A 27,564-nucleotide genomic window follows, 5' to 3' on the forward strand; every position below is an offset into this window, starting at 1 on the left:
AAAATGTGGCACATATACACCATTGAATACTATGCAGGTCATAAAAAAGGATGAGTTCATGTCCTTTGTAGGGACATGGATGAAGCTAGAAACCATCATTCTGAGCAAACTATCACAAAGACAGAAAACCAAACACCACATGTTCTCACTCATAGGTGGGAATTGAACAATGAGAACACTTGGACACAGGCGGGGGGGAACATCACACACTGGGGCCTGTCGTGGGGTGGGGGAAAGGGGGAGGGATAGCATTAGGAGATATACCTAATGTAAATGACAAGTTAACGGGTGCAGCACACCAACATGGAACGTGTATACATATGTAACAAACCTGCACATTGTGCACATGTACCCTAGAACTTAAAGTATAATAATAATCATCATCATCATCATCATAAAGCAAGCAGGCAAAACAAAACAAAACAACCACCTTCCAGGGTTACCGACGGCTTCCTTATCCAAAAATCCAAGGTATATTTTGCATTTCATTTATCTTACTTTGCAATCCTTGACATTGTTTATCATTCCCTCATTCCTAAAGCCATTTTATTTTTTTACTTTGGCCTCTTTAACTCCCTTTCCTGTTTTTTTCCTACCTCTTTGGCTGCCCCTTCTACTTCTTCTTTGCAGAATTAGCCTATATTACCTAGATTAAATGGAGAGCTGCTCATTCTATATTTGATCTCTAGAGAGTCCAATCCTTACCTATCAGTTATATTTAGATTTCCATATCAATAATTCTCAAATTTTATGTCTTTGCATTGCAGCCACACTGGCCTTTCAGCTCTTCAAATGCACCATATTTGGTCCCCCTATATTTTTGCACAAACTGTTCATTGTATCAAGAATATGCTCCCCCCTAGTAAACTCTTGTTCAGTTTTCAGATCTCAACTGAACTTATGAGAAGGCTTTTCTCACATCATCCTAGGTCAGGTTCATTTGCCTTGCACTCCCATAACACTGTCTCTTTCCTTCAGAGAATTTAATTTACAGTTATGAGTTTGTTCTGTCTCCTCCCATTTCGGATGATTTCAACCCTCCTGATCTATGTTAAAGGCAGAGAGAGCAAAGCAAACATTAGTTGTTTTCATTGTCATCCACCTTTTTGAGGTAGATGAGATCTGTCATTTCTCAGTCTAGAGTCTCTTTCAGTTAGCAATACTGGTGAAAGAATAAAAGAAGCAACATGCATGTGGTACTTACTGGCACAGGTTGCAGTGAAACCATTGGGAGAAATGAGTTTGCAGTGCCTCCAGAAACTCTCAGGTGAGCAAACTCAATTTATTCCTTTTCTATACCTCCAATCCTTGCTTTCCCAAGTTCATTCTTAACAGGGAGCACACATCCCTCCAAGGCATTTCTGCATGTCCAATATGTTGCTAGTTAGCTGTTATTCTGCCTTTGATTACTTTTTTCTCTTTTCCAAATTAAACTTTTTGAGACATTTTAAATTCACAAAGATGTAAGAAATAACACAGAGAGATCCCATGTGTCCTTTTCCAAATATCCCCCAATGGTGTTGTCATGCAAAACTGTAGTACGATATCACATCCAAAATACTGACAGTGATACAGTCAAGATACAGAATGTTTCCATCACCATAAGGATCCCTCTTGTCGCCCTTCTACAATCCCACCTACTTCCTTCCCACCCCCACCACCTTCATAATGCCTAGCAAGCACGACTCTGTTTCTCACTTCTATAATTTATTTCTGTATGTTTATCTTTTTTTGTTTGGGGGTTTTTGCTTTTTTTAGACAGGGTCTCACTGTGTTGCCCAGGATGGAGTGCAGTGGTGCGATCATGGCTCACTGCAGCCTCTGCTTCCTGGACTCAAGTGGTCCTTCTACCGCAGCCTCCCAAGTAACTGGGATCACAGGCACATTCCACCACACCCAGCTAGTTTTTGTATTATTTTGGTAGAGGTGGTGTAAGGAACATGGAAGTGCTTTGGTCAAGGACAGGCTGAAGTAAACATCCAGAGTGACTCAGCGAGTCTAGAGTGCAGGTGTATAATTCCACTTGTTATCATAGCCACATAGACATAACATAGAGAAGTTCACCACCATAGCCATAACATAGGGAAGGTTCATCACTTGGCTCTATGCCACTATTGCCTGTAAAATATATAACTGCCCTGTTAACACTGTGGAGGCACACTGGTACCCAGAGAAAGACAGAGAGCCAAAGCTGTCTGTCTTTGCAGACAGACAGAGGGGAGCCAGGACACAGCTTGGCCTGCTCGTGCCCAAAGAGAGTTTAGCTGCTCACCCTGAAGGCAAGGGAGAGTTGGCCGCACAGCTGTGTGTGTGGGCTGCCTGACTAAGCAGCCGAGACAGGGCGGAGAGAGCTGTTTATGAGAGCTGCTGCTGAATAAAATCATCTTTCACCTGCCTTTGGTTCCCCAAGGGTTCTTTCTGCTCATCTACCCACTCCCTTGAACCTCAGCATGGGCTGGAACCTGACCCTGGGCATGACATTTGGCATAGTCATGAAACTGACAGGGTTTCACTATGTTGCTCAGGCTGCTCTTGAACTCCTATACTCAAGCAGTCCACCCACCTCGGCCTCCAGAAGTGCTGGGATTATAGGCGCGAGCCACTGCGCCTGACCTGTATGTTTATCTTTTATCCTGGAATCTTACTGAGCTCATTTATTTTATATATAGGATTTTGTATGTAGACAATGTTATCTGCAAATAGGGAGTTTTAATGTTCTAACTCTTCCTTTCCAATCTCTATTTTTTCTTTTTGCTTTTTATCCCATTAGCTACAATTTCCAGCACCATGTTAATTAACAGTGGTAAAAGCAGACATCTCTGCCTTGTTTTCCTATCAGAGGGAAGTAATTCAGTCATTCATCATTAATGAACATGATCTGTAGCTTTTTTGTAGGTGCTTTTTATCAAGTTGAAGCAGTTACCCTCTAATTTCTAATTTCCTAAGAAGTTTTATCATTTCTGTATCACAAACACTGAATTTTGTCAAGTGCTTCTTCTCTGATACAATCATGTGATTTACTTTTATTCAGCCTGATAATACAGTAGTCAATTCTAAAATATTAAACCAGATTTGTATCTCTGAAATAACCTTTATTTGGTCTTTAAAAAGTATTGCTAAATTCTACTTGCTAATATTTTGCTAAGGATTTTCACACCTATATTCATAAGGATATTGGCCTGTAGTTTCTACCGTTGTGCTGTCTCTGCTTTTGGTAACAGAATAATTCTAGCTTCATAAAATGAAGTATTCTCTCCTTTTCTATTTTCTGGAAGAGATTGTATAGAATTAGTGTTAATTCTTCTTTAAATATTTGGTAGAATTCTCCAGTAATTCTTCCATCCCCAGACACTCTGATGTTATTAGCATGTAGCATGACCCAGGCATTGGGATTTTAAAAATCTCCCCAGGTGATTACACTATGCAGTGTGAATTTCTTAACATTTCCAATTAAAAAGTACTGGAAATTTGTCAAGTCTGAAGTCATAGATAACAACCTTTAAAAACTGGTTTGAAATGTTCTTGACATTATGAATATTCACCTGTATTTCCAGACAAATTTGATTTATATATCTTTGGGATAAATAAAAAACATTTTAACATTAAAAGTTCAAAAATGTCAGACTTCAAAGGCTTTTTTGTCACCTGTACTTTTTCTTCTTAAAAATCAGAAGTACGAAATGGTCTTTTCATTAACCTATGTCCTAAATTCAAAATCCCCCAAACAAATACACTGCATACTAGATAATCAGTTTCATGATTCAGAGCATCGAATATAAAATGTACTACTGCTTCAATAATACACATCTTAGATTTATAAAGTGAAACAAAGACTGAGAATTTAAGAAAACTGTCATAGTATTGCAAACCCTTGAATATTGAAAGTAATGTCATATGCGTACAAAATGTTCCCATTTCCATTTGAATAAAAACACGGCCACTATATGAATAGCTAACGAAAATATTCATGGTTTACAAGAAATTTTCTTTCCAATGAAATGAATTAAGCTTTCAAAAATGAACCGGACACCGCCGCTTACGCCTGTAATCCCAGCACTTTGGGAAGCTGAGGCAGGCAGATTACGTGAGCTGGAGTTTGAGACCAGCCTGGGCAATATGGCAAACCGTCTCTACGACAAATACAAAAATGAGACAGGAGTGCTGTTGTATGCATATAGTCCCAGCTACTTGAGAAGCCAAGACAGGATTGCCTGAGCCCAGGGAGGTCAAGGTTGCAGCAAGCCAAGATCAAGCCACTGCACTCGAACCTGGGCTACAGAATGACATCCCGCCTCAAAAGAAAAAAAAGGAATAAAAAAAAAAGCCTTTTCTGTTTATGACCAAAAAAAAAAAAAGATGGAAAAACTATTTTCCCATTATCTAGTTTTATTGTCATAGGCCAATTGATGCTTTATTTGTATCAGTATGAACTTCATGGGGAAAACATAAATTGCTTTTCTGGAGAAAAGGTGTTTGGAGTGTTGATTAAAAATATGGGGACGTTTTTATGAGTTTTTATTTGGCGGCTCTGTGAATTCTCATAGTATAGTATGAAAAATGAAAATTCCAGTCCAGATTCTGACACTTATTTTACCTTATTTAATAAAAATAATCTCCCATACCTTTCAATAGAGACTCATGATGAGACTATGGAGTTTCTTGAAAACTTATAAAACATCTGTAGTTTCAAGAAAAAAAAATCTGCTATGGTATACAAAATCCTGGCAATTACATATTGTGGAAAATATCCATAAGAGTGTCACTACTGCAGCAGAGCTTAACTACTGTATTAGGCATAATTTGGTTTCTGTTATGAATATGGAATAAATTCAGTTAAGTTCTAACGTATTTCAGAGAAAATAACAGGCTGTTCACAAAGCACAATTATTACTTATTTATACATATCTGCTTTGTAAAAGAAAATTCAAAATGTATCACGAGTTTTAAAAACTATATATACTGACCAGGAAGTTCTGAGAATATATCATGAATAATTAAAGGCATGATGTTCACAGCATTGTTTATACTAAAAAGTGGAAAGGTTAAGTTCCCAAAATGAGAATTGATTCATTACATTGATTCATCTTCAAATAATGGAGGGACCATTAAAAATAGTATCAATATCATAAGGGAAAAAAGGTTACAAGGCAGTAAAAATTATACAATTCCATTTTTAAAATGTCTAGAGATCATTTATAAATGACAGGCTATCACAGTACCTCCACGCTTTTAAAAATTTTTAGCTTCTCCGCAATATTACATGATGAAAAAGATTAAAGGAAAAATTCCTTCATTGTGCAGAAACACTTTTCAGATAAGTGAAGGCTGACAACATGCTTAATCTGCAAATACTCCACGGGGGCTGGCCATACATGTTTGTGTGCCTATACACAAACATATAACTTTTTAAAATAATTGTACCATTATTAACCAAAGTCCTCTACTTTGCTAGATCTTTTAACTAGATTTTTATCAAAATTTGTGTATCTGTAGATGAGAATGTATTTTCTTGCAGAAGCAGTGTCACGTTACCATGTTAGATGACAGAAGATACATATGCGATGAAAATCGAAATAATTCACATTCATCATTCAATAAAACTATTAAATAAGAAATGAACATGCTGAATGCTGGAAAAGCAGGCCAAATCAGATTGGGGGAAGAAATGGCTCAGATGAACTGTGGAAATTACAGAAGTTCTGAAAACTTTCAACGGCTTTGCAAATTGACACTATAAGCACTTTGTGTCCAATTTCACTTCAGAAACTACGGCATTCCTTCTTTAACATCAGAATAGTATTTTTATTCTTATCACTTATGATAAAGAGAATTTTTTGGCTGCCAAGCAGAATAAAGAGAAAAACTTCCAAGCAGGAAAGGAGTCAGGAATTTGGGGGAAGGATCATGAGGATTTATGTATCTGTGAAAGGAGGAGACATAAAGCCAGTGACATACTGGTGCCAAGATTGACTTAATACAACTGAAAATGGAGGGTAAAGAGGGGAAGAGGAAATGTGGAGTCATTTCTTCGTATAAACATTTTCAGAATTCTCAATTATGTAATGCCTAATGAATGCAATTTTTTTCTAGTATAAATTAACTGATGTAAGATGTAGGACAATTTTAAAACGTTAACAACTGTTTTTAGTAAGACTTTTATTTTAAAAATTTTCAAAATATAAAAATAATAAACAATATGGATTTAACAAAACATAATTCAACTATAAATAATAAAAATGTTGACAACCCCACATAAACATTTAACACTATAAACATTCTAAGCATACAAGAGTAGTATTCTAGTTCAAGTTTTATCTTTTTTCAGTTCAAGTTTTATTATTACTTTAAAAAAATAAACAAAAAAGCTGCTACAGCTTAACCAATTGCTTTCGCTCCACTCAAAGAGCAGGGAAATTTTTTCCCCATGCCAACACACATTCATGAAATGGGATACTTATGGGCACAGGTATTTAAAACTGGAACAATCCAGTCTCCAGACAAGAAGACTCCTTTGGTGTTTTTCAATTCAACAGTCCACCGAAATTGAGTTTAAATAAACCACTTATTAGAAGAAATCTTGTGCCAGACAATATGTTCTGAAGTAGCATCATACCCAAAACAGGTTTAGCCTTCTGAGAATGAAAAGCAGGCATCCATGAATGCTTTGCTGATACTTAAAACATTCTATCATATGAACATTCATTAAGGTGCTGGAAGGAAATCTTGGGACAAAACAAAAAAATCGACACATCAATGCAAAAACCTACAATGCAATAATACTTCTCTTTACAACTCACCAAATGTTCCGTAAATATTTAAGAATCACTATGCCTCCTGTTGAGTGACAGACATGGGAATTTAAAGCAAAGCAGGATTACATATTTTAGTATTAGAAAAGTTTTTCATTTGAAATAAGGGAAAACAGCCATGCTGAATGAGTTTTTGGATTCTAGCCAAATTAACTGCCTTCCTCTTAACAAAACAATTTTCTTTTTGGGAAGCTGGGCACAAATAAGTGTAAGGGCATTCTGCATCATATTCTTAAATTATGATGTGTTTCTAATGGGCTGGGCTCTCTATCTGACTCAGCACAGACCACTTTTATAAGTATGCTGCTACATTATAATAAATCACAAGGAATCAGATTAAAACCTAGCAAAGTCTGAACAATGGGTTCAAAAATGATACTGAAAGGTTTTATAGCACCAATGACTTTTTCCTAAGACACTTGAGGGGCCTGTATCATTTTAAAGTATGATTTATCTTGTAAACAAGACCAAAAATATTCAGTTGATCTGTATTTTGAGCATAAATATTTATAAACTCTATTAAAAAAACAAATATAGCATGACTAGAGCAGCTTAATAGTGTAAAATCTAAGTATTGAAAAATATAGATATATAAAAGGCTTTCATTATGCAATCATGCAGAGGAAACTGCTTCATTCAATTACACAAAAGTGATTCTGTACAGTTATCTACAATAGCTCCATGAGAATCCTATTTAGGAAAATAAAATAATGAAAACCTTATCTCTAATCAACACGGGGATTTTAAATATGTAACTGACTAGATCTCAAAGCAATTTTAAAAAAGCGCAGTGATCTTAGTGAGAATCAAGTCATCTTGAATTCTGATTCTCAATGGTATCTTCAATTTTGTTTTGCTTTGTTTTTAATTTTAAAAGCAAAAAGTGAAAAATCAAACCAAACCAAACAAAAACTCCAGGATGACAAAGTTGCAGGTAGTGGCATGTAGTCCATATCCATTAAACAATCAACACTGTTAACACCAAGTTTAGTGTCTTCAGACAATGGTCTTTACCCTAGCAGTAAACCAGTGTAGTAGGGGCAGAAAATTCTTTGTTTACAATTAAAAATACTCAACTAATTTGGGGAAATATTTATGAACACCCTGTGGCTAGTTTGTAAATGTGAACCAAAAGTCTAACAACAACAACAAAAAAAGGCCTTGTAAACTACTAGGTCTTTAAAATATTAGAAGACTTTCCAAATTATGTATTTTTAACCAAGCCTAGAATTAACCATGCTGTATCCAACCAATGTGGATCAAAACAGTTAATTTACATTATGACTGATGTGTTTATTACATTCTTTTTACTCTTCATGACAAATGCAATGCATACTCAAGGGGAAAAAAAGTTTGCAGAATGTTAAGCTTTGCACCAAAAAAAAAAAAAAAAGTGATAAAGGTAGTATGGCTGGATAAAAATAAAACAAGGGTGAATAAAAATCAGTGTCAATTGGACTTTTCTAATATAGTTACTACCAAGTATAGCTTCCAACTTTTTAAATGCCTCCTGAGAATCTATGAAGGAATACTCAGAAACTAAGTGCAAACATTTCTTATAGTCCCATTATAAAAAAGATATTGTGGCTACATATTTAGGATGAGATTTAATCAGATTCTTTATAAGTAATTCTAAGCCATATTAAGTCATACTGCTTATAAATAATTTGGACATACACTTCTTAAAATGGTTAAAAACTAGTCTTTACCAATGTTAGGCACACAACACTATTTCCTCTTGCTTTAAAGGTCGTCTTCGATGTCTTGATTGAAAGTCAAAAAAATGTGAAAAAATTATGTTAAGACATATAATTTTTAAAATATTTATAATCCACAGATCATCATTTGTCACTTGGAAGAAAATTATTTTCTTTGTTGGTTTTGAAGGGCTAAGAATTTTTAAAAAAATATTTGGGTAAATGACCTTGGCAACATCAGAAAGTATATTCAGAAGAAATGCACAAGCTATTACAGTACATAAAAAAGTACTTTATCATCTATTCAAAATTATTTTCAGTGGCTATCCTACTCCCAGAAATATATCTTAAGATCCCCCCAAAATTAAAACCAAACTCATGTTTAACTTTTTAATTCATTTTCATTTTAAATTGCTCATGCTAATGAACACAGTAGTATGGCTTTACAGATTTCCTAGACACAATCCTCAATTTGGCTCAGACTTGAATATACGTCATCCAAGAGAACTTTTTCGTTCCTTCTTAAGGTGTTTAAAAAATAAATGGCTATAAAGTATGGGGAGAAAACATTTAAGAATAAGGTCAGAGCACACATTCAGATACACTTTGGACTCAGATGTACTCTTAGAGAACTGTAGAGATAAAATGCTAATTATAGTACATGTAAACATCTGTTCAAATTGATAAAGAGTGAACATAAAATAATAGGATGATATTATTGTAACAGTCGTCTCCAGACAGGAACTGGTCTTGCTCTTGCAGTCACAAAGCTAAATTCAGGCAATGATGATCTCTCTCTGCTGGAAAAAGAGAAGACTATTAAAAAAAACTTTGAAAATAGCAAATAAATCTAAAACTTGAATCACATCATAAATTGACCTCCAACTTTTCTAAACATTAAAAAAGTCTATTTGAGAAAGAAATCAAAATCAAAGTTGCAGGAAAATTACACAAAGCTTTGGGCTAAAATGATTTTACCAAAACCTCTCTGCATCATACTCCCTTCAAACATTAGGCTGCAAAAGATCACAGCATACAACATATCTATGGTCTAAAATTTTCATTGCGAAAACTACTTAACTGATATGGAAAATTTTCACAGAGATGTGGGTAGGCAAAGAAATTTTAGGAAATCATGAACAAATTCCAAGATGTTGTAAATAAAAATGAAAACAGATACAATCTTCTTAAGGTTTCCCAAAGATTTCAAAGTAATTGCAAGATACATCTAATTTCCTTAAACTCCATATGATAATCACTTCATTTGTTAATCACATTATATGAAGTAAAAGTATACTAAGCACAAAGGCCCACAGTAAAAATAAAAGGAATACATGGAAATCAGACAGTGCCTGGTATACAAGGAGAGGCTAACTTTGGATGATGGGAAATGAGTAGATGGATGAAATAAACAGTGAGGGAGGATTTAGGAAGTAGCAAGTATAAAAAGTGGATACGAAAAAAGTAGAATTTTAAAATGCTTTTAATTACATTAAGTAACAAGCACATAATATGGATAAACTGCAAGAAAGTTATACCAAATTAGGTGTTTTTCTACTAAGCAAGTTTGATGTTTTTCATTAGCAATTAATGGGAATGGCAGTCATGTTCACCAAAGTTTCTTTCCTAGGATTTTTAAGTAGCAACTTTGGAAGATTATCTATTGTCATCTGACAGGTATATAATGATCAGAAAGGAAAATTTTAAAAACTGCTCTTCCCTAAAGGCCTGTATACATACCTTTGAGCAACTAGCCAGTTCAAGAAGTTAACAGGAACAAGGTAGTTCCTGAGATCTGGGAAAAGGAAATTTTCTTCTTGTCTTACAAATATTGTACACTAGAAATTTAATTCTGCATTAAATTTCCATTTGTAATTTACAGTATTTTATAAGAACAAGAAAAGCCCCGAGAGAAAGACCAAAAAGTTAACTAAGCCAGAATTTCACGCAGGAAATTTTTGTTTTAAAAGGCTAATATAGACTTTTGTAAGTGGGGCAGGTGTGTGTGTGTGTGTGTGTGTGTGTGTGTGTGTGTGTGTTGGGTGGAGCTTACAAAATTTATATAAATTCTAGAAGAACTAAAACTAATTTTCTATCAGTCTACATTGTGTGTAAGGAGGGAAAAGAAAACATATTGATAAAGTTTGCTTCATACTCTAAAATAGCCAGTGATATTTCAACATGCCAAATAAGCAACTGTTGCTTCCTTTTTGAACCCTTATAAGCCAACAGTTAGTGTTCCAAGTAAGAGTGGATAAAGTCCCCCAAAATCAGTTCTAGTAAGAAGACATTTCTTTCAATTAAACTTAGCCACACTTTCTACAGGAAATCAGCTAAAACAGTGAAGTCCTGTCTTTAAACTATTAGTTGTCACATTTAATCAAATCACAATAAAACAAAAGCTATGGAATACTCTCCCATTCCTGCAACATGTTTTCATCAAATGCTTGGGTATCAGTTAAATATAAAATTTAATTTGATTATGTTACAATTATCCAGTAACATTTAAAACAACACTGCTTAAGTAGAGACACAAAATATTGGGTGAAATAAGTAAAACGACAACTCAACCATCCCTTGAAATAATCCTAATCAATCTTTTAACCAGTAATACACAACGTTCCTCAATTTTTTCCTGTAGGAAGAGGCGACCTACATTGCTGTCCTCAATCCTTTACCAACTCCCAACTCAGCCTGCAGCCCAGCTCTGTACTAAAGCAAAATAATCTGTTAGGAGAGCTGCAGAATTAAAAATGTGTTTCTAGTTTCAGGTAGCATATTGGTTTGTTTTTTTTTTAAAAAAGAGTAAACTGAGATGGAAAGGACAATTTAAATCCATATTGGTGAGAGAACTGACTCTATCTGCATTACTAGCAAGTACTTCTACTTTAAAACTCTGAATTTAGAAGGAAAATGAAAAGTTACAATTGGAAAAAGGAAGTGCTGGTGAATACAGAAGTTCATCTCTATTTTATAGGCTGAATGTAATTTGTACTGGCAAATGCAAGCATGTAGGAACACTATACACAAAACTGTACCAAGAGGCATCATATAAATTACCATAACCAAATCCAAGTTGTTTCCAATGATAAAATGATAGAAAACAACAACGATAACAGGGAGAACTGGCTTAGATATATTAAATTGTTTTGTCTCAAACACTAATATAGTACCAAGGAAACTATAGATGTAAAAGGGACCTTAGAGATCATCTAGTCCAACTCTTTATTTTACAGACAAGGAAACAGCCCTGGATAAGGCAAGAGACTTGTCTAAGGCCACAGAGTTAGTTGCAGAATTGGGACCAAAAACTAAATATCATATAAACCTTGTCTAGTATTCTAAACTAGATCACCTTTGGATATAAAAATTAGTGGGATGGACTAGACTGGTGGCTCTTAGCATTTCTAATCATATACACTGACAGAAACCAAAAGTGTATTTTACCTCTGAAACAGACAACATTTATTAGTCCAAAATATTAATGCCTTACTAAATGTTGTGGAAATTCCACTAAGCCTACATATGTGTATACCTCCATCAGTACTTGTAACCCCACAAGTGACAAACTCAAACTGTATCAATTGCTTAGCAAAATGCTCCCAGTGACTGAGGAGATCTTCAAGAGATTTTTGGAAAATTGATAAGAATTAACAAGGGAGGTATTTGTCACTCTATGATTGGATATTTAAATATGCATTCATTCATTCATTAATTCATCCAACAAACATTTGAGTGCCCACTATAAGCCTGGCTTTGTGATAAGCACTAAAGATAAAATGATGAATAAGACATGGTCCACCTTCCTAGAGGAGCTTGTAATCTAGTGGGGAAGACAGACATAAACCAGATAAATTATATTACAATGTAAGTACTGTAACAGAGATATGAACAAAGTGCTGTATTAAAAGGGAGGGTATAAGTATGAACTGGCGAATGACCAAGTAGTCTGCTAATTTTGTGCAGTATCTTTGAGGCAAGAACTACCATATTTACTATAAACACAATCTCATGTTCCACTCCATCAATAATTAGGAAAGCAGCAGCATCAACGTAGAGTTAAAAAAAAAAAAAATTGGCACTGAAATCAGAATGCTTGCATTCAAATCTATTTTCACCCACTAGCTATGACTGGGCAAATCATTCCATCTCTATTAGCCTAAGTTTCCTTATCTATAAAATGGAAATGAACAACTCCTTCCTAAGTTTTAAATGAAAACATATGAAAGTACATGTAGAGTGCTAGTATTTATAAACAAGTAAAAAATTCAGTAGCAACTTAATACTAAGTAATATTTATAATTAAAATAATATTAATACTATGAATAATATAATTGTAAACCTAATTAATGTTGGTAAGATTTAATCTCCATTCTTTGGGATCACGCTGAAATATATTTGTCTTCTGATTCATTCAAAGCAACATGGCTTAAAACATTTTAAGTTCTAGGAAAACTGATTAGCTATTCATGGACTGAAATAAACAGAATATGTATTTTCAGTTACATTGTAAGGGAATTTTATAATTTTTGAAATATCAGGCTAAAACATACTAATCAAATTATAAAGCCAAAAATCAGCATGGAGATTTAACTGGCCTTTGAAAGATTTACTTTCTTTGTAATACCTGTTTGGTGTAAAGAGAAGAAACGTGAGCCTCTGCCAATTTGGCACCTTTCACGACTACTAAAAAGAAAAGAAAACAAACTTACCTAATGAATCAGAATAGCACATAGTCAACATACAAGAGACTACATAAAAATAGATCTTTGATTTAAATATATAAGTAAAAATAGTGACTTTTTGAGCAAAGTCACTATTTTGACAACTGAAATCTGATTTTGAAATTTTAAATATAAACGTAGACACGAATTGCAAGGCAAAGCATTTCTATGAAATAGTGTTACCATCAAGAAAATACACACAACTTCAACCCCAATTAGGGGTGTATGGGGAAGAAGAAAAAGAACAGCATCCTTAAGTTACTCCACTGGCAGAAGACTATGGTGGTGGTGGAACAACAGCTTTTGATTGTGAGGACCCCAATATGGAAGAAAGTAATTTTTTAAATGTGATTTTTTAATATTATCACTATAATCTCAAGAGAGGCAGAAACACTTGCAATCAAAATGATGAATTTGAAAATATAAATATGTAATCTCCCACCCCCATTCTACAAAGAATGCATTTATTTCCTGGAAACTGCCATATCAACTTTCAATGATCATGTTCACTTGCAAAAGAAATCCACTTAAAAAAATCACAGTATTGTTGCAAACATCAAAGATTTTTATACAAGTATAGGAAGTACACACTTAAAATATCAGACTGGAACACTTACCAAACAGTGTTTTCCTAAAGTAGTATCTATAGTACATTTCTTTATTCATATATCTTCAAATGGTCAAGTTTTCTTTCATACATCCAAAATGTAATGTGATGTTTTCTTATTCACCAAATGTTAGCTCTACTTGCAGTCTGGTTCCAAACTAATCAGCCTGCTTTTAAATTTTAAGACATTTGTTGAAAATTTATAGGATCAAACCAAACTCAAGTGGTATAATTTTTAAACATTGGATTGTACATTATTGTAAGGGTACCAGTAACCATTATTATTAAGAATAAGTTAGTGATTATAGCTCCTTTTGTGATAATTGGGGGGAAGGGTAGATCACCATCTGGAATGGTCTATTTTAATTTTTTTCTTTTCTTTTTTCTTTTCTTTTTTTTTTTAAATCAAGGAACATTGTCTTGGCTTTTTTTTTTTTTTTTTTTTTGTCATTGCTTTTCTCTTTTCTTTCCTTTTTTTTTTTTAAAGAGACCATTCCACTTTATTATAACATCTGGATGCATAAGGACTCATGTAAAGCAGTCATACACCATTATCATTAAAACCCATATGGTAAAATACATACACAGTCCAACAAAAGGCTAATACATAGTAAAGCCTAAGCATACTACTATGTAATATTATAATACATAACTTGGAGACTTTAGTTAGAGTACTATGTTATCTATTCAGTTTTGAAAACATTCATTAAGATTTTAAATGCAAATTCATTCCTTATTTGGAATAAAACAAAGTCCTCTAAGTTATAACAAGTATTGGTCATAAGTTTTCAGACCTATTCATTAAATTACAAAGAACCCAAAGAATTCTGTGATGTCCAGTAGAAGTATGTAATAAAAACATTGCATATGTTTCTAGTGTGATGTCTTTAGCAATTGTTTACTGAAGTAAAATGCAAACATCAATCTTTCAAAATACAAGATCAGAAGGTAGTTTTCTTCTTTTTTGTCTATTTGTGAAATCCATCTTCATCACATTTTACCAAAAATTGTTTTTACAAATATGTAAAAGTACATTAGATAATACTAATGAAACACAGGTAGAGTTCTAGCATATGCAGATCAATGATCAGTCAAATCATCTTCTCCAAGAACGAGATTCATTGTCCTCTTCTTCTTCATCATCATCTTGAAGTAATGAGTCATCCACCAAAGACTCTTCCTGAAACTTTAGGTTAAAATGTATTTAGGAATTTACCCAAAAAAAAAAAAAAGAAAAGAAAAAAAAGGTGACACTTTTAAATACTCATCTCTCTCAACAGAGTTGAATACAAAAGGTATTTTTATAGCTAGAACATTCACAAAACAAAGAAAAGCAACATTTAACCACTCAATGGTTTCTCTATATGATCTATTCTATTGCTTGCATGAAACACACTAAACAAATATCAAATAAAGCCTTTGTACATGCCATTTTTTCCTGCCTCTCTTTAGCAAATTACGCCATCTTCTGTACCTTTAAAATATTGGTCAAACTTTTTAAAAAAGAAAACAGTAAGTTTTCTCTAATTTACCCTCCTAACCTTGAATACTAAAATCAACCAATGACTTGTATAAAATTCTACCAAGATTTATATTTATATTTATTTTCTGCTGTATGCAACAAACATTTTCTATTATTGCATTCCTTTCTTTTCCCCATTCCCTTCATAAACACTTCTCAGACTGCTATTTCAAACTTTTCAAAATACCTAATACCAGGAGCTCTCCTGCTTTTCTCCCCATTCAATTCAAACTCATGGAAGGACAAAGGTATAATCTAAAATATAAAATGACAAATCATGTATATGAGTTTCAAAATATACATTTTTATTCTTGCATTTGACTATGGATATGTATAACAGCCTTGAAATGCTCTTCAAACAAAATGAAGTGCCATTATGAAGGTAAAACATGGAATTATTTAGTTTTCCCACCTTACCTTTATTTATTAACTTAAACTTTTTCCTAAAGTTTATTTTGTGATTAAGTAAGAGTTGCTTACTTTTAAGTTTTTGGTTTCAAAGGCCTCTAACACTTCACTGGCCCGTACCTCTTAGCCATCAGACTAACTGCTGTTACTCAAAGAAAAATGCACACTTTCATTTTTCCTGATGCTTATCCCTCCATCTAAAATACCTCTCAATTATATTACCAGCTCCAGTTCTAGCTTATGAAGCTGTTTTACTGCTTAGGGCCCAGTTCCACTATCAATACCTCCTTTAAAATTTTTGGGATGGAAACAATCACTCCTTCCTCTGAGTTTCCAGAGCATGTTGTTCAAATCTTTATTCAGCGTTATCAGTCTGCCTTTTATTGTAACTAGTTTCTTATGTGTCTGCCACCACCCCCCTTTTCAGATTATAAGCTCCTTGATGATAGATAGGGACCGTGTCTTATTCATTTTTGTGCCTATGACAGTATCTACCATATAACAGGCATTCATTCTAATGACTAAAATGATAAATGAATTAAAATAAAGGAAAGCTGAAATGTTAATAAAGCAACTGAGAATAGATTATCCTAAAACTTAAAATATTACAAGATTTCCTGTGGATAAAAATCTAATGAATAATCATTGTCTCTAAGGGTAAATAAAAATTGAGTATATATATATGATTTTCATATATTCTTTTTGAATTAGCAATCCACATTTCTTCTCATTATCCAGAAAATTTAAAGTTGTTTGCATTTATCTGATATCCCCTGCCTGGACTATGGGTCAGGAATAAAAGTTTTATGTTAAAATCACGGCCATAAAAATCACATTTTATATAAAAGCTATGAACGATTAAGGGTAAAAATAAGTGGAAAAAAAATAACATACTTCTTCTTCATCAGGCTCAACTTCTTCTGTTTCAACAGCTGAAATATTAGTTACTGGTTTATTCCATGCCAGTTTTAGATCTTGCCCTTTGAAACGAGCTCCATGAACTGCAGCCTAAAATGATTAAAAATATTGGAATATAAGACATTAAAAATTTCTGAAGAAAAAAATAAATGTCATAGTGCCTAACATTAAAATTAAAATAGCTAAAGACAACTGAAGATGGCTATCTGCCCATTTGCTTTTTGATTATTTACTATTCAATTTACTATTATTATAATTTACACTTTACTTTTTATGGTTATTTACTCCTACAATCAGACTAGTAATTGCAAATTCCTTTAAAAAGAAAACAAGAATAATTTCTCATAATAAAATATAGCTATTTCACTACTGGCCAATATTTGACTAAAAGAAATATGTCTACATGTTTATAACACAATGACAACTGCTGTTTAAGATGACAATCCCAAGGTACTTCAAGATCCTAGTTTTAATGTCTGAATCAATGTCTAAATTAGGATCAATATGCTAAATATATTTTATTTCAATTACTGTTCATTTACAAATGGTATATAATTATTAATCTTTAATAATAATTTTGCATGTGTAAAGTATATTATTTTCAAATTACATCAAATGACCAACTACCATAAAATGTTTATTATAAAACTAAAACAAAATATAAGTGTCTCAATGAAAGGAAAAAAAACCCCTCTGAACTCTTCTATTGAAAAACAGTTTTTCCTACCAAACTTTTATAACTGAATATAAAACGTGAACTTAAAAAATAGTCATGTCTAAGTACTTGCTATATTAAGTGGCTGGTTTGGAAACTGCATTCAAATTAGAGTAACATGAACTAAGGTAAATCAGTGTTAGCAACATATTGCCAAATAACTTATACTCACACAAGATTTATAATACAATCTCAAAGTACAGCATAATGTGAAATGTAGAAACAATTACATATTCAATGATATTTGACATAAGTTGTGTGGTATTAAAATCCCCAGGTATAAATTTTAAACCTGCACATATAAATTTATGATAAATTTAAAAGATTTCATGCCTGTTCAAATGCTGCTCAGAGAATTTTTGTCACAATGTCATACAACTAGAATTTTTTTAAAAAGTACTTATATGTATTTTAGTTCCAGGACAATTTGCAATTTTTTGAAGCTATCACTGTTACATAAAAATGTATCATATTCTATAAGGAATTCCAACTGTTTAATGCAAAATACCTACTCATAAAACTCATCCTTACATTCAGCTAAAAAAAATTCACCTAAAAAGCAAAAGAGTTACTGACATTTTCAAAAATAAGTTACTGACAAAAATTTCTGATGATCTAACTTTACACATCTCTATATTCAGCACACAGCTCCTCAAATCTATAAGATGAGGCTACAACTTTCTAAAGTTTCAACTTTAATTACAAAATGATTTACAAACTTTTTATTAACATTGCTCCATTACAAACTTGAGAATTAGGCTGTGTAAATTTTTGAAAGAACTGAGTTTTTGCTTTGTAAAGATGTAAATTTACTCAGGAAAACTAAGAACTTCTGATGTTATAAGAAACATATTCCATAATTACTTTCATTTTGATAAAACTATTGTTTTATATTAGAAAAGTTCAAGAAACCAATATTTCAGGTAATTGCAACATAAAATCTTTAAAGTTTAAACAATTCCTTCTGTAACCCACCCATTTCACTTTTTACAAAGATTCAAAATTTCAGGCCACGTAATGTAAAAAAGCAGTCCATGATTATCCCTAGCCCTAAGAGATAACCACTATTCTGTGAGGAATTCGGAGTTAAATCCTACATATATTTTTCTACACACATACTGAAAGAACTTCTGTATATAAATATGTATGGTATGTATACGGAAACATACTAGTTTATAACTTCATGGTTAAATTATTAACCCAATTCTTTTCATAAATATCTCTCGATGTCCATACCAATAAATGTCACTTTTCTTGAATGGCCATATATATTATATATTTAGCATAATTAAAGCAATTTCTACAGATATGAACAATCTTGTGTATTTGTACATCTTGTGTGACTTTCTATTAGAAGTGAAATGTTTGACTTTTTTCACAATCTGGCCTGCTTGTATTTTTCTAATTGAATGAAGTTTGGTGATATTTTGGGCAAAATATTTTCCCCGATTGGATTTTGATTTTATGATGCACCTTTTATTGGAGAGAAAGGGGTTGTTGTTGTTCTTTTGTTTTTGTCATCAACAAGTTTTAAATTTTTCATGTACTGGAATTTACCAATATTTTCCTTTATGAATATCGTGCCATACCTTAAAAAGCCCTCTCAATATTAAGACTATTTTTTTTAAATCCCTAGGATTTTACTATTTAAAAAAAAGAATTTTGTAGCATGTATTAAATGTTTTATGTATTAAAAAAAGAAAAAAAATTCATCCAATTTAATTTATTTGGATATTTAAAAAAGACATAATGCTGTCTTTTTTCCAAATAGCTAGTCAATTGCCCCAACATCATTTACTGAATAACTTGTTTTATTCCTTGATTTAAAACAACTCCTTTGTGATCCATTAAAATCCTCATAAAGTCAGCCACCACAGAACAATGTTTTGGTCAACAATGACTATATACAAAAGTGGTCCCCTAAGATTTTAATAAACCTGAAAAATTCCTATTGCTTAGTGACCTTATAACTATCATAATACATTACTCACATGGTGATACTGGTGTAAACAAACCGATTGTGCTGCCAGTCCAGTCATATAAAAGTATGGCACGCACAATTATGTACAGCATAATACTTGAATATGGTGGCAAACGACTGTTACTAGTTTACATATTTACTATACTATACTCTTTATCATTATTTTAGAGTGTACTCTAATTTTTTTTAAGTTAATTATAAAACAGCCTCAGGCAGTTTCCTCAGGAGGTATTTCAGAAGAAGGAACTGTTATCGTAGGCCTCAGCCTATAATACACACATTGCCTATGACAGCTGTGTGTGTGTTACTGCCCCTCAAGACTTTCCAGTGGGACAAGACGTAAAGGTAGAAAACGGTGATACTGATGATTCTGACCATGTTTAGACATAGACTAATGTATGTGTTTGTGTCTTAGTTTTTAATTAAAAGTTTAAAAAGTAAAACATAAAAAAATGTTAAAAATAGACAAAAGCTTATTGAATAAGGATATAAAGAAAGTATTTTTGTACAGCTGTGCAACGTGTCTGTTTTATGCTAAGTGGCGTTACAAGAGTCAAAAAGTTTTTAAAAATTGTAAAGTTTAAAAGTAAAAGCTAGAGCAAACTAAGGTTAATTTATTATTAAAGAAAGATAAAATGTTCTTATAAACTTAGTATAGCCTAAGTGTACAGTGTTTATAAGGTCTAAAGTACGAGTTTATAAAATACGATGGTAATGTTCTAGGCCTTTACATTCACTCACTAACTCACCCAGAGCAATTTCCAGTCCTGCAAATGCCATTCATGGTAGGTACCCCATACAGGTATACCATGTTTTATCTTTTATACCCTATTTTTACTGTACCTTTTCTATGTTTAGATATGTTTGCCTACACAAATACTTACCATTGTGTTACAAGTGCCTCAGTATTCAGTATAGTTAACACAATGCCAGAGTTTCGTAGCCTAAGACCAACGGGCTATATACCATAGAGTGTAGGTGTGTAGTAGGTTATATCATTTATGTTTGTGTAAATACACTCTGTGATGTGTACACAACAATGAAATTGTCTAACAACACATTTTTCAGGTCATATCCCTCTTAAGTGGCACATGATTGTATAAACTTAGGTCTATTTCTGAACTGTATTGTACTACATTATCTGCTTTGTACTGCTTTTAAACAGTACGAATAATTAATGCAAATAACTTTTTAAAGTATGCTATGGCAGTGCTTCAAGAGTTATGCATGTACTTTAAAATTCCATTAAAATATATTTTTAAAAGTGAACTGTATAGCCATTTATAAAATGTTAAGGAACACCATGTTTAAATGTGCTCTACAGGATGCCTACTTGGGCTAGGACGTAGTGGTCAAAAAGGTGAAAGTGGACCTAAATGTAAAAATCCACAAAATATGAAAGGGGGGGAAATAGTATCAGATGAAGATAAAATTTGCTTCCCAATGCAAATGTAGCTGATAATCTAGATTAAAAAGATAATTTTTGAAAAAACTACCAAAGTACCAAACTAAAGCCAGCAAAGATAAACTTAAACAAATCATTTCTACAAAACAGCCTGTAAAAAGACACATTTAATCATTAGATACTGATAGTTTCACAAATGAATTCTATTAAAATTTTAAAAAACATATTTCCAAAGCAACTTAAATTATCTCAGAAAGCAAAGAATAATGGAAACTTTCCAATGACAGGTAATAGAGATACCTGACAAAAATATCCCTCCCAAAATTTACAAACCAATCTTACTTTTGAAAATCATTTTAAAAAGTAAAAAGAGAAATAGAAAGAAAAAGAAGAGACTTTAGTGATTTTTAAAAATACAGTACTATGGGATTTAAACCAGAAGAGAATGATTAGAAGCAGTGCAATGAAATAAGGTGAAAAAGAAAAAAAAAAAGTCATTGTTATACAAACATCAAAAAGCATTATAAAAATCCATTTCTAGCCTGGGCGTAGTGACAGAAACCTGTAATTCTAGCACTTTGTGAGGCTGAGACAGGCAGATTGGTTGAGCTCAGGAGTTCAAGACCAGCCTGGACAACATGGTGAGACCCCATCTCTACAAAAAATACAAAAATTAGCCAACTGTGGCGGCGTGTGCCTATAGTCCCAGCTACTTGGGAGACTGAGGTGGGAGGATCACCTGAGCTCAGGAAGTCAAGGCTGCAGTGAGCTGTGATCAGACCACTGCACTCTAGCCTGGGTGACAGAATGAGAACCTGTCTCAAAAAAAAAAAAAAAAAATCCATTTCTGATCAAAAATCTTAATGAAACAGAGTCATTTGTATTCTACCTTAAGACAAAAAGCCAGCATCACACATAATACTGAAAATACTAGAAGCATTTTCATTCTGCAAAAAAGTCAGTCACTATTATTATCGATGTTTTTAACATTTTTCTAAAGGTAAACGATGAAATAACAGAAAGTAGTATAAGTGTAGAAATGTGAGAGGTAAAACTATGTTTAACCAAAGATAAATTGAATGAAAACCCAAAAAACCCAAGAGAGCAAAATTAAAACCATCAAATAGTTTGATAAGATGGCAGTTACACATTTAATAAAAAAAGATGAACAGTCTTCCTACATATGAAGAACCAATAGAAAATATTATGGAACAAAAGATCTCATTTAAAATAGCAATAAAAAGATGAATTATTATGGGGAAATTTATAAGCAATGTATGTTGTCTATATAAAGAAACCATAAGCAGGAAGGGTGGGAGACAGATGAGGGTTGAAAAATTACCTAATGGGTACAATGTTCACTATTTGGGTAATGGGTATACTAGAACCCCAAACCCTACCAGTATGCAATATACTCATTAACAAACGTGCATGTGTACTCCCTGAATCTAAAAATTAAATTAATTTTTAAAAAAGAAAACCTTAACACTAGTAATATATACTGGCTATGTTAAAAAAAATTAAAATGCTCTTACAATGTAAAAAGTACTGAAGAACTTGAAAGACAATGAGGTTTTAGAGGAAGACTTAGCATTTGAGGAAAATTTAGTATTATTATGTTCATTCTCCCATAACTTAGTCTATCTTTTTGAAACTAAGTTTATTCAAAAGTTTACATCGAAAATAAACACCTAAAACATACCAGCAAGATTCTGAAAGTGAGTAATAATTGGGTGTGAGAGGGAATCCAAACTGCCCTGACAAACTACTGAGTTTAGAAAGCTAGTTTAATTAAAACAGTGAGAAACAGGCACATGAAGAGAGAACTCATCAATGGAAGAGTCTGGAACACACCCAAATAAACATATCAGAAATTTATATATTTCACATAAGCCTGGAAAAACTAGATTTAACTAATGAACCCAACAGGCTTCCTATTTCACTCCTTAGACCAAATAAGTTCCACGTAAATTTTTAAAAAAATGAATGTGAAGTCTTCAAAGAAAAAAAAAAGCCTATTAATATTAAGAGTATTAGAAAAAACAAGGGAAAATGTTTCTTATCTCAGATTGGTGAAAGCCTTTCAAACTATAAAAAAAGATTAACTGGACAATTAACTATTATTGTGGAAAATACAGCATAAATGAAAATTCATAAAAATATAAGCTATGAGCTAATTTCCAAATATACAAAGAGCCCCTGCATTAAGTAAAAAAAAAAAAAAAAAAAAAAAAGACTACTCAGCAAAATAATAGAATGGGCAAATGACATTAACAGTTGATAGACATAAAAACAAACAATAAAAACAGACAGCATTTAATTAAACATGAAAATGGCTCAACTACAATCAGAAAAGTGAATTAAAACCTAAATGAGTTTCTATTTCAGTTTGATAAACTGAAGATAAAACTGATACCCCACTCCGATAAAAATGAGGACAAACTACATACCTATGGATTTTTTTTTTTAATAAGAAAAGTAGTAAAACCACTATGTAGCGTACACACTATGGCAAGAGTGTAGGGAAAAAGCATTCTCATACATCTTTGGTGGGCAAATAAGTATAACCTTTATGGTGGGCAATTTTCATTAAAAATTTAAACGTACATATCCGTTCACCCACATGTTGGTGTCAGTGAGAAAGGTGGAAAAATGTAGAGACATTAAGACCCATGAGATTAAGTAAAAACCATAGAGTCTAGAATTAACAAGTATCAGAGTGAATTCTGAATTTATCTTTACCTATCTACTTGTATGTGTGTATATATGTGTATGTATTAAAAACTTTATAGCCCCAAATTAAATGCAAAGTATCAGTATGAGCTCTAAATTTCTTTATACATGTGTATATATGTGCATATACATATATATATATGTATGTTTTTTTTTCACTCCCAGTTCTGACAACTGAAAAGGATTAGTGATGGTAACATACTTAATAGTAATGCGTACCCCTAGTACCCAAACTGTAGTGTCTAAATATCTTTGCCTAATAAATAAACCAAAGCTCCTTAGAGAAAGGGTCAATTCCAGGTCTGGAAGAGACAGTGTTTAAAATGAACCTAGAACACCTTCTCATACCAGAAGGAACAGAACCACTAGGATCCTGTCAAAAGCACTCAGGAGCCAACCTGTAGTCTCCTGGCCAAAGATGGAATAACTTCAACATTAATAACTGAGAGCAATGGATTTGTACCCATAAAATGTTTATATATGAATTTATGACTGCATAACACCAATCAAGCTATATCAAAATATGAACCTTATCTAGATCCTTATTTTTAAAAAGTAAATTTACAAGAAATTAGACAAATGTCAACCCTGACTGGATATTTGATATTTAGGAATATAATTTTTAGGTGTGATAGTAGTACTGTATTTTTTTAAGGCTCTATCATTCGAAGAGCCAACCTACGTTAAAACCTAAATGAAAAAGGAAGGAATCAAACCTCTAGAAACTGGTTCCATCATTTAAGGTTCTATCATCTAAAATGTTTACAGATGAAATGATACAGTGACTGTGAATAGCTCCAAAATAAGGAGTGGGCAAGTTGTAGCGAGTGAAATATAGATGAAATAAGATTGGCCCTAAGTCGATAACTGTTGAAGCTCAATGATGTGCATATGTGAATACATTTTATAATTCTAATTTCTATACTATAAAATGTACACAAAATTTGAGTTTTAAAGCTGAAATAGTTTATTCAGAGGCTTGTCTCTAGTCTTTTGACTATTTATTCTTACACACATTCATTCAAAGCTTACAGCAAATTAAGGAATGGCATATACATAACAGAAAGCACAAAGGTTAAAGATCTAACAAAGGAGGAAAAAACTATGAAAAGTAATTGTGGATTCCACATCTTACGTGGAAAATGTTCTGGAAACAATTAAGTTTGGAAAAATGTTGGGTGAAACAAAATTAAACAGGTTTGTTTACCTCTGGACTTAGTCCATTTAGACTACAGTTCTAAATGGAATATAAAAATGCAGCCTTTCACAAACTTATCTGACAAGAGAATCTTTTGTTAGGGGATCTCTTGCAGAAACAGTGTTTTGCAAAAACTACAGAGAAAACTGACTTGAAATACAGATAATTACCGAAAAGTAAACTGCAATCCTATGGTTCCTTACGTTTTTAGTAACGATAATATAACTAATATATAAAAGAAGGCTAAAAGCAAGTTTAGTAATATTTGTAATGTTATAGAATGTTAAAGCACGAGTTATGAACACAAATACATATAATTATATAATATATATGACCACACATTTTTAAAAACATGCAAAATCTAATTTTTAGAAGTTACAAAGAAAGACTTCCAATTCTTTAACTCTTGAGTTCAATGCACATGGCTACTTTCCCACAAGCTTCAGACCTCAAGTTACTAATTCTGGTAGCACAGTGCCCATCACATAGCAGCACTTAATAACTATTAAGTATCAGTAAAAACACACACACATACACACACACACTCTGCTATGCACATAATTTGACTTCTTTTGGTTGAATCCATTTAGTAAAACATGATTCTCTTTCCCCCTATTTTTTGCTAAGATAGGGTCTGGCTCTGTCGCCCAGGCTGAAGCACAGTGGCATGATCTCAGCTCGCTGCAACCTCTGCCTCCTGGGCTCAGGTGATCCTCCCACCTTAGCCTCGCAAACAGCTGGGACTGCAGGTGCACGCCACCACACCTGGCTGATTTTTTGGTAGAGATGGGGTTTCTCCATGTTGCCCAGGCTGGTCTCGAACTCCTGGACTCAAGAGATCCACCCCACTTGGCCTCCCAAAGTGGTGGGATTACAGGTGTGAGCCACTGCGCCTGGCCCCTCTTTCCTTTTGATATAAAAAATTGTACCTCGCAGCCAGGCACAGTGGCTCATGCCTGTAACCCCAGCACTTTGGGATGCTGAGGCAGGTGGATCACGAGGTCAGGAGATCGAGACCATCCTGGCTAACATGGTGAAACCCTGTCTCTACTAAAAATACAAAAAAAAAAAAAAAAAAAATTAACTGGGCGTGGTGGCAGGCACCTCTAGTCCCAGCTACTCGGGAGGCTGAGGCAGGAGAATGGCATGAAGCCAAGAGAGGCGGAGCTTGCAGTGAGCTGAGATCACACCACTGCACTCCAGCCTGGGCAACACAGCGAGACTCCGCCTCAAAAAAAAAAAAAAATTGTACCTCTGTGAGTTTGGGACTATAGGTTTCATTTTTGTTCTGATTCTTCTAAAACAGCAACTTAATTATTCCTATTCTGAACAGGATCTTGGGCTCCTACAAAGGTACAGTAACAATTCAGTGCAGAAAAGATAATATTCAAATCAGTCATGGAAGAGACGACTGCTTTACTCTTGTCTGAGTACTTATCCAACTTTAGTACTTTGGCATGGTGATAGACAAAAAAATAGAAAATAAGGTAATAGGAACCATCTTCTAGGTAACAAGGCAGAGTCAAACCATAAACCATCTTAACCTAAAGCTAACAGTGTTCTGCTTATACTGATGGTCTTTAAAATGCTTCAATATTTTTCCTGAGGAAAACTTCTCACTTTTCAGTTATATCTGAATGTCTCAATTACCTTATTTATTCTTGTACTTTCATCTTGAAATACTATGCATCTATTGATTATAGAAAATAAATTCATTCAGTCATCTAGGATAATGGTCCAGAAAACAAGAACAATGTAATGTTTGACAGTAAACATTGGCAAGGGCTGACAGTTTTTTCTTGGGAAGGCCTATCCTTTACTGCGAGTTCATGTTCTCCTACATTTTCAGTGTTAAAATTTCCTTTATTTTATATAACAATGGTGATAGAACATGACAATCTTTTTGTATTTTTAAAGTATTCTTCCCTGGCAAAATAAAAAGTTGATACCTCTATGACAAACACACAAATTTTTAAATTCCTAAACTTTACTGTTCCCTGAAATCCAAAAGTTTGAAGACCACTGCTCTATATGTATCCTGCTTGTATAAGATAAGCTTCAACTTAATTTTCTATTCTTTTCAACATTACAAAATTTTAAGAAACTTTCTGGCTTAAGGATATGCTTATGCTTTAACAACTTTTGTAACTAAAAATCTAAACATTTATCATAGCAGTGGTCATTACTCTTTTTAGTCTATTAAGTAAATCCAACTAAAGCTATTTCCTCTAAATAGGTAATTCTCATTAGACCTAACTTGGCCTTAGTTATTCTGTCACTTATTCAACCTTCATGTAATTCAGTGCTAAAGTCTTCCTTATACATTAATCCCTGGTATTTTTTATTGTTATTAATTTTGAAAAATACATTGTATACACGCCTAAGGTACAAAAAGCAAGACCCAAGAAAGAAGGTACGTGTCAAAAGTCTTTCCGCGAGCAAAATTTCCAAAAATTATTTAAGAAGAGGTTTTAATTTTTTCTCAGCCATATAAGCAAGCAAGGGAAGTAGTACATATTTAAAGTTCTTAATAAATCCACAAATTTGGCAATATCTGAACCATTTGTACAGTAACAACTATCATTATTTTATAATACCACTATTCCCTAGAAAATACATAAAACATAAAACTACCTATCTAGCAAGAGACTAAAAATTATCAACTGAAGCCACCACTGAAAGGAAGCTTACTCTAAACTTGCACTTAACAATACCCTGGAGAGAACATTTAATCAAAGATCTACCTTTTTCAATATAACATACACACATACAAGCTTATGAGTTTTAAAATCTCATCAATTTTAAATTACTTTTTACTTTCACAAAAGAACATTAAAGAAATGATTA

General features: G+C 33.0%; 1 protein-coding gene across 50 annotated transcripts in view, besides 3 other annotated features; it reads right to left on the reverse strand.

Annotated features, from left to right (window-relative positions):
• Positions 1,779-2,280: an enhancer, noted in NCBI's record as "H3K27ac hESC enhancer chr13:79881601-79882102 (GRCh37/hg19 assembly coordinates)". NCBI's record gives its function as "activates a minimal SCP1, AML or CMV promoter by ChIP-STARR-seq in primed H9 embryonic stem cells {active_cell/tissue: H9 hESC(primed)}" and the evidence as "EXISTENCE:reporter gene assay evidence [ECO:0000049][PMID:30033119]".
• RBM26 (RNA binding motif protein 26) overlaps positions 6,140-27,564 on the reverse strand; it is a 94,429-nt gene continuing 73,004 nt past the window's right edge. For 16 of the 50 annotated variants that reach the window (NM_022118.5, XM_047430507.1, NM_001286632.2 and 13 more), the window contains 2 exons: positions 16,662-16,775; positions 13,181-15,023 (listed from right to left, as the gene is read on the reverse strand). In NM_022118.5, the coding sequence (NP_071401.3) occupies positions 14,934-15,023; positions 16,662-16,775 (204 nt within the window). In that variant the 3' untranslated portion in view covers positions 13,181-14,933. Of the gene's footprint in view, positions 9,307-13,180; positions 15,615-16,661; positions 16,776-27,564 lie in introns of those variants that run through there. The other 34 variants (XM_047430535.1, XM_047430533.1, XM_047430519.1 and 31 more) reach the window with 3 other exon arrangements.
• Positions 24,984-25,484: an enhancer, noted in NCBI's record as "H3K4me1 hESC enhancer chr13:79904806-79905306 (GRCh37/hg19 assembly coordinates)". NCBI's record gives its function as "activates a minimal SCP1, AML or CMV promoter by ChIP-STARR-seq in primed H9 embryonic stem cells {active_cell/tissue: H9 hESC(primed)}" and the evidence as "EXISTENCE:reporter gene assay evidence [ECO:0000049][PMID:30033119]".
• Positions 25,485-25,985: an enhancer, noted in NCBI's record as "H3K4me1 hESC enhancer chr13:79905307-79905807 (GRCh37/hg19 assembly coordinates)". NCBI's record gives its function as "activates a minimal SCP1, AML or CMV promoter by ChIP-STARR-seq in primed H9 embryonic stem cells {active_cell/tissue: H9 hESC(primed)}" and the evidence as "EXISTENCE:reporter gene assay evidence [ECO:0000049][PMID:30033119]".

The sequence above is a fragment of the Homo sapiens genome, chromosome 13, assembly GCF_000001405.40.
Source record: "Homo sapiens chromosome 13, GRCh38.p14 Primary Assembly".
NCBI lineage: Eukaryota > Metazoa > Chordata > Mammalia > Primates > Hominidae > Homo > Homo sapiens.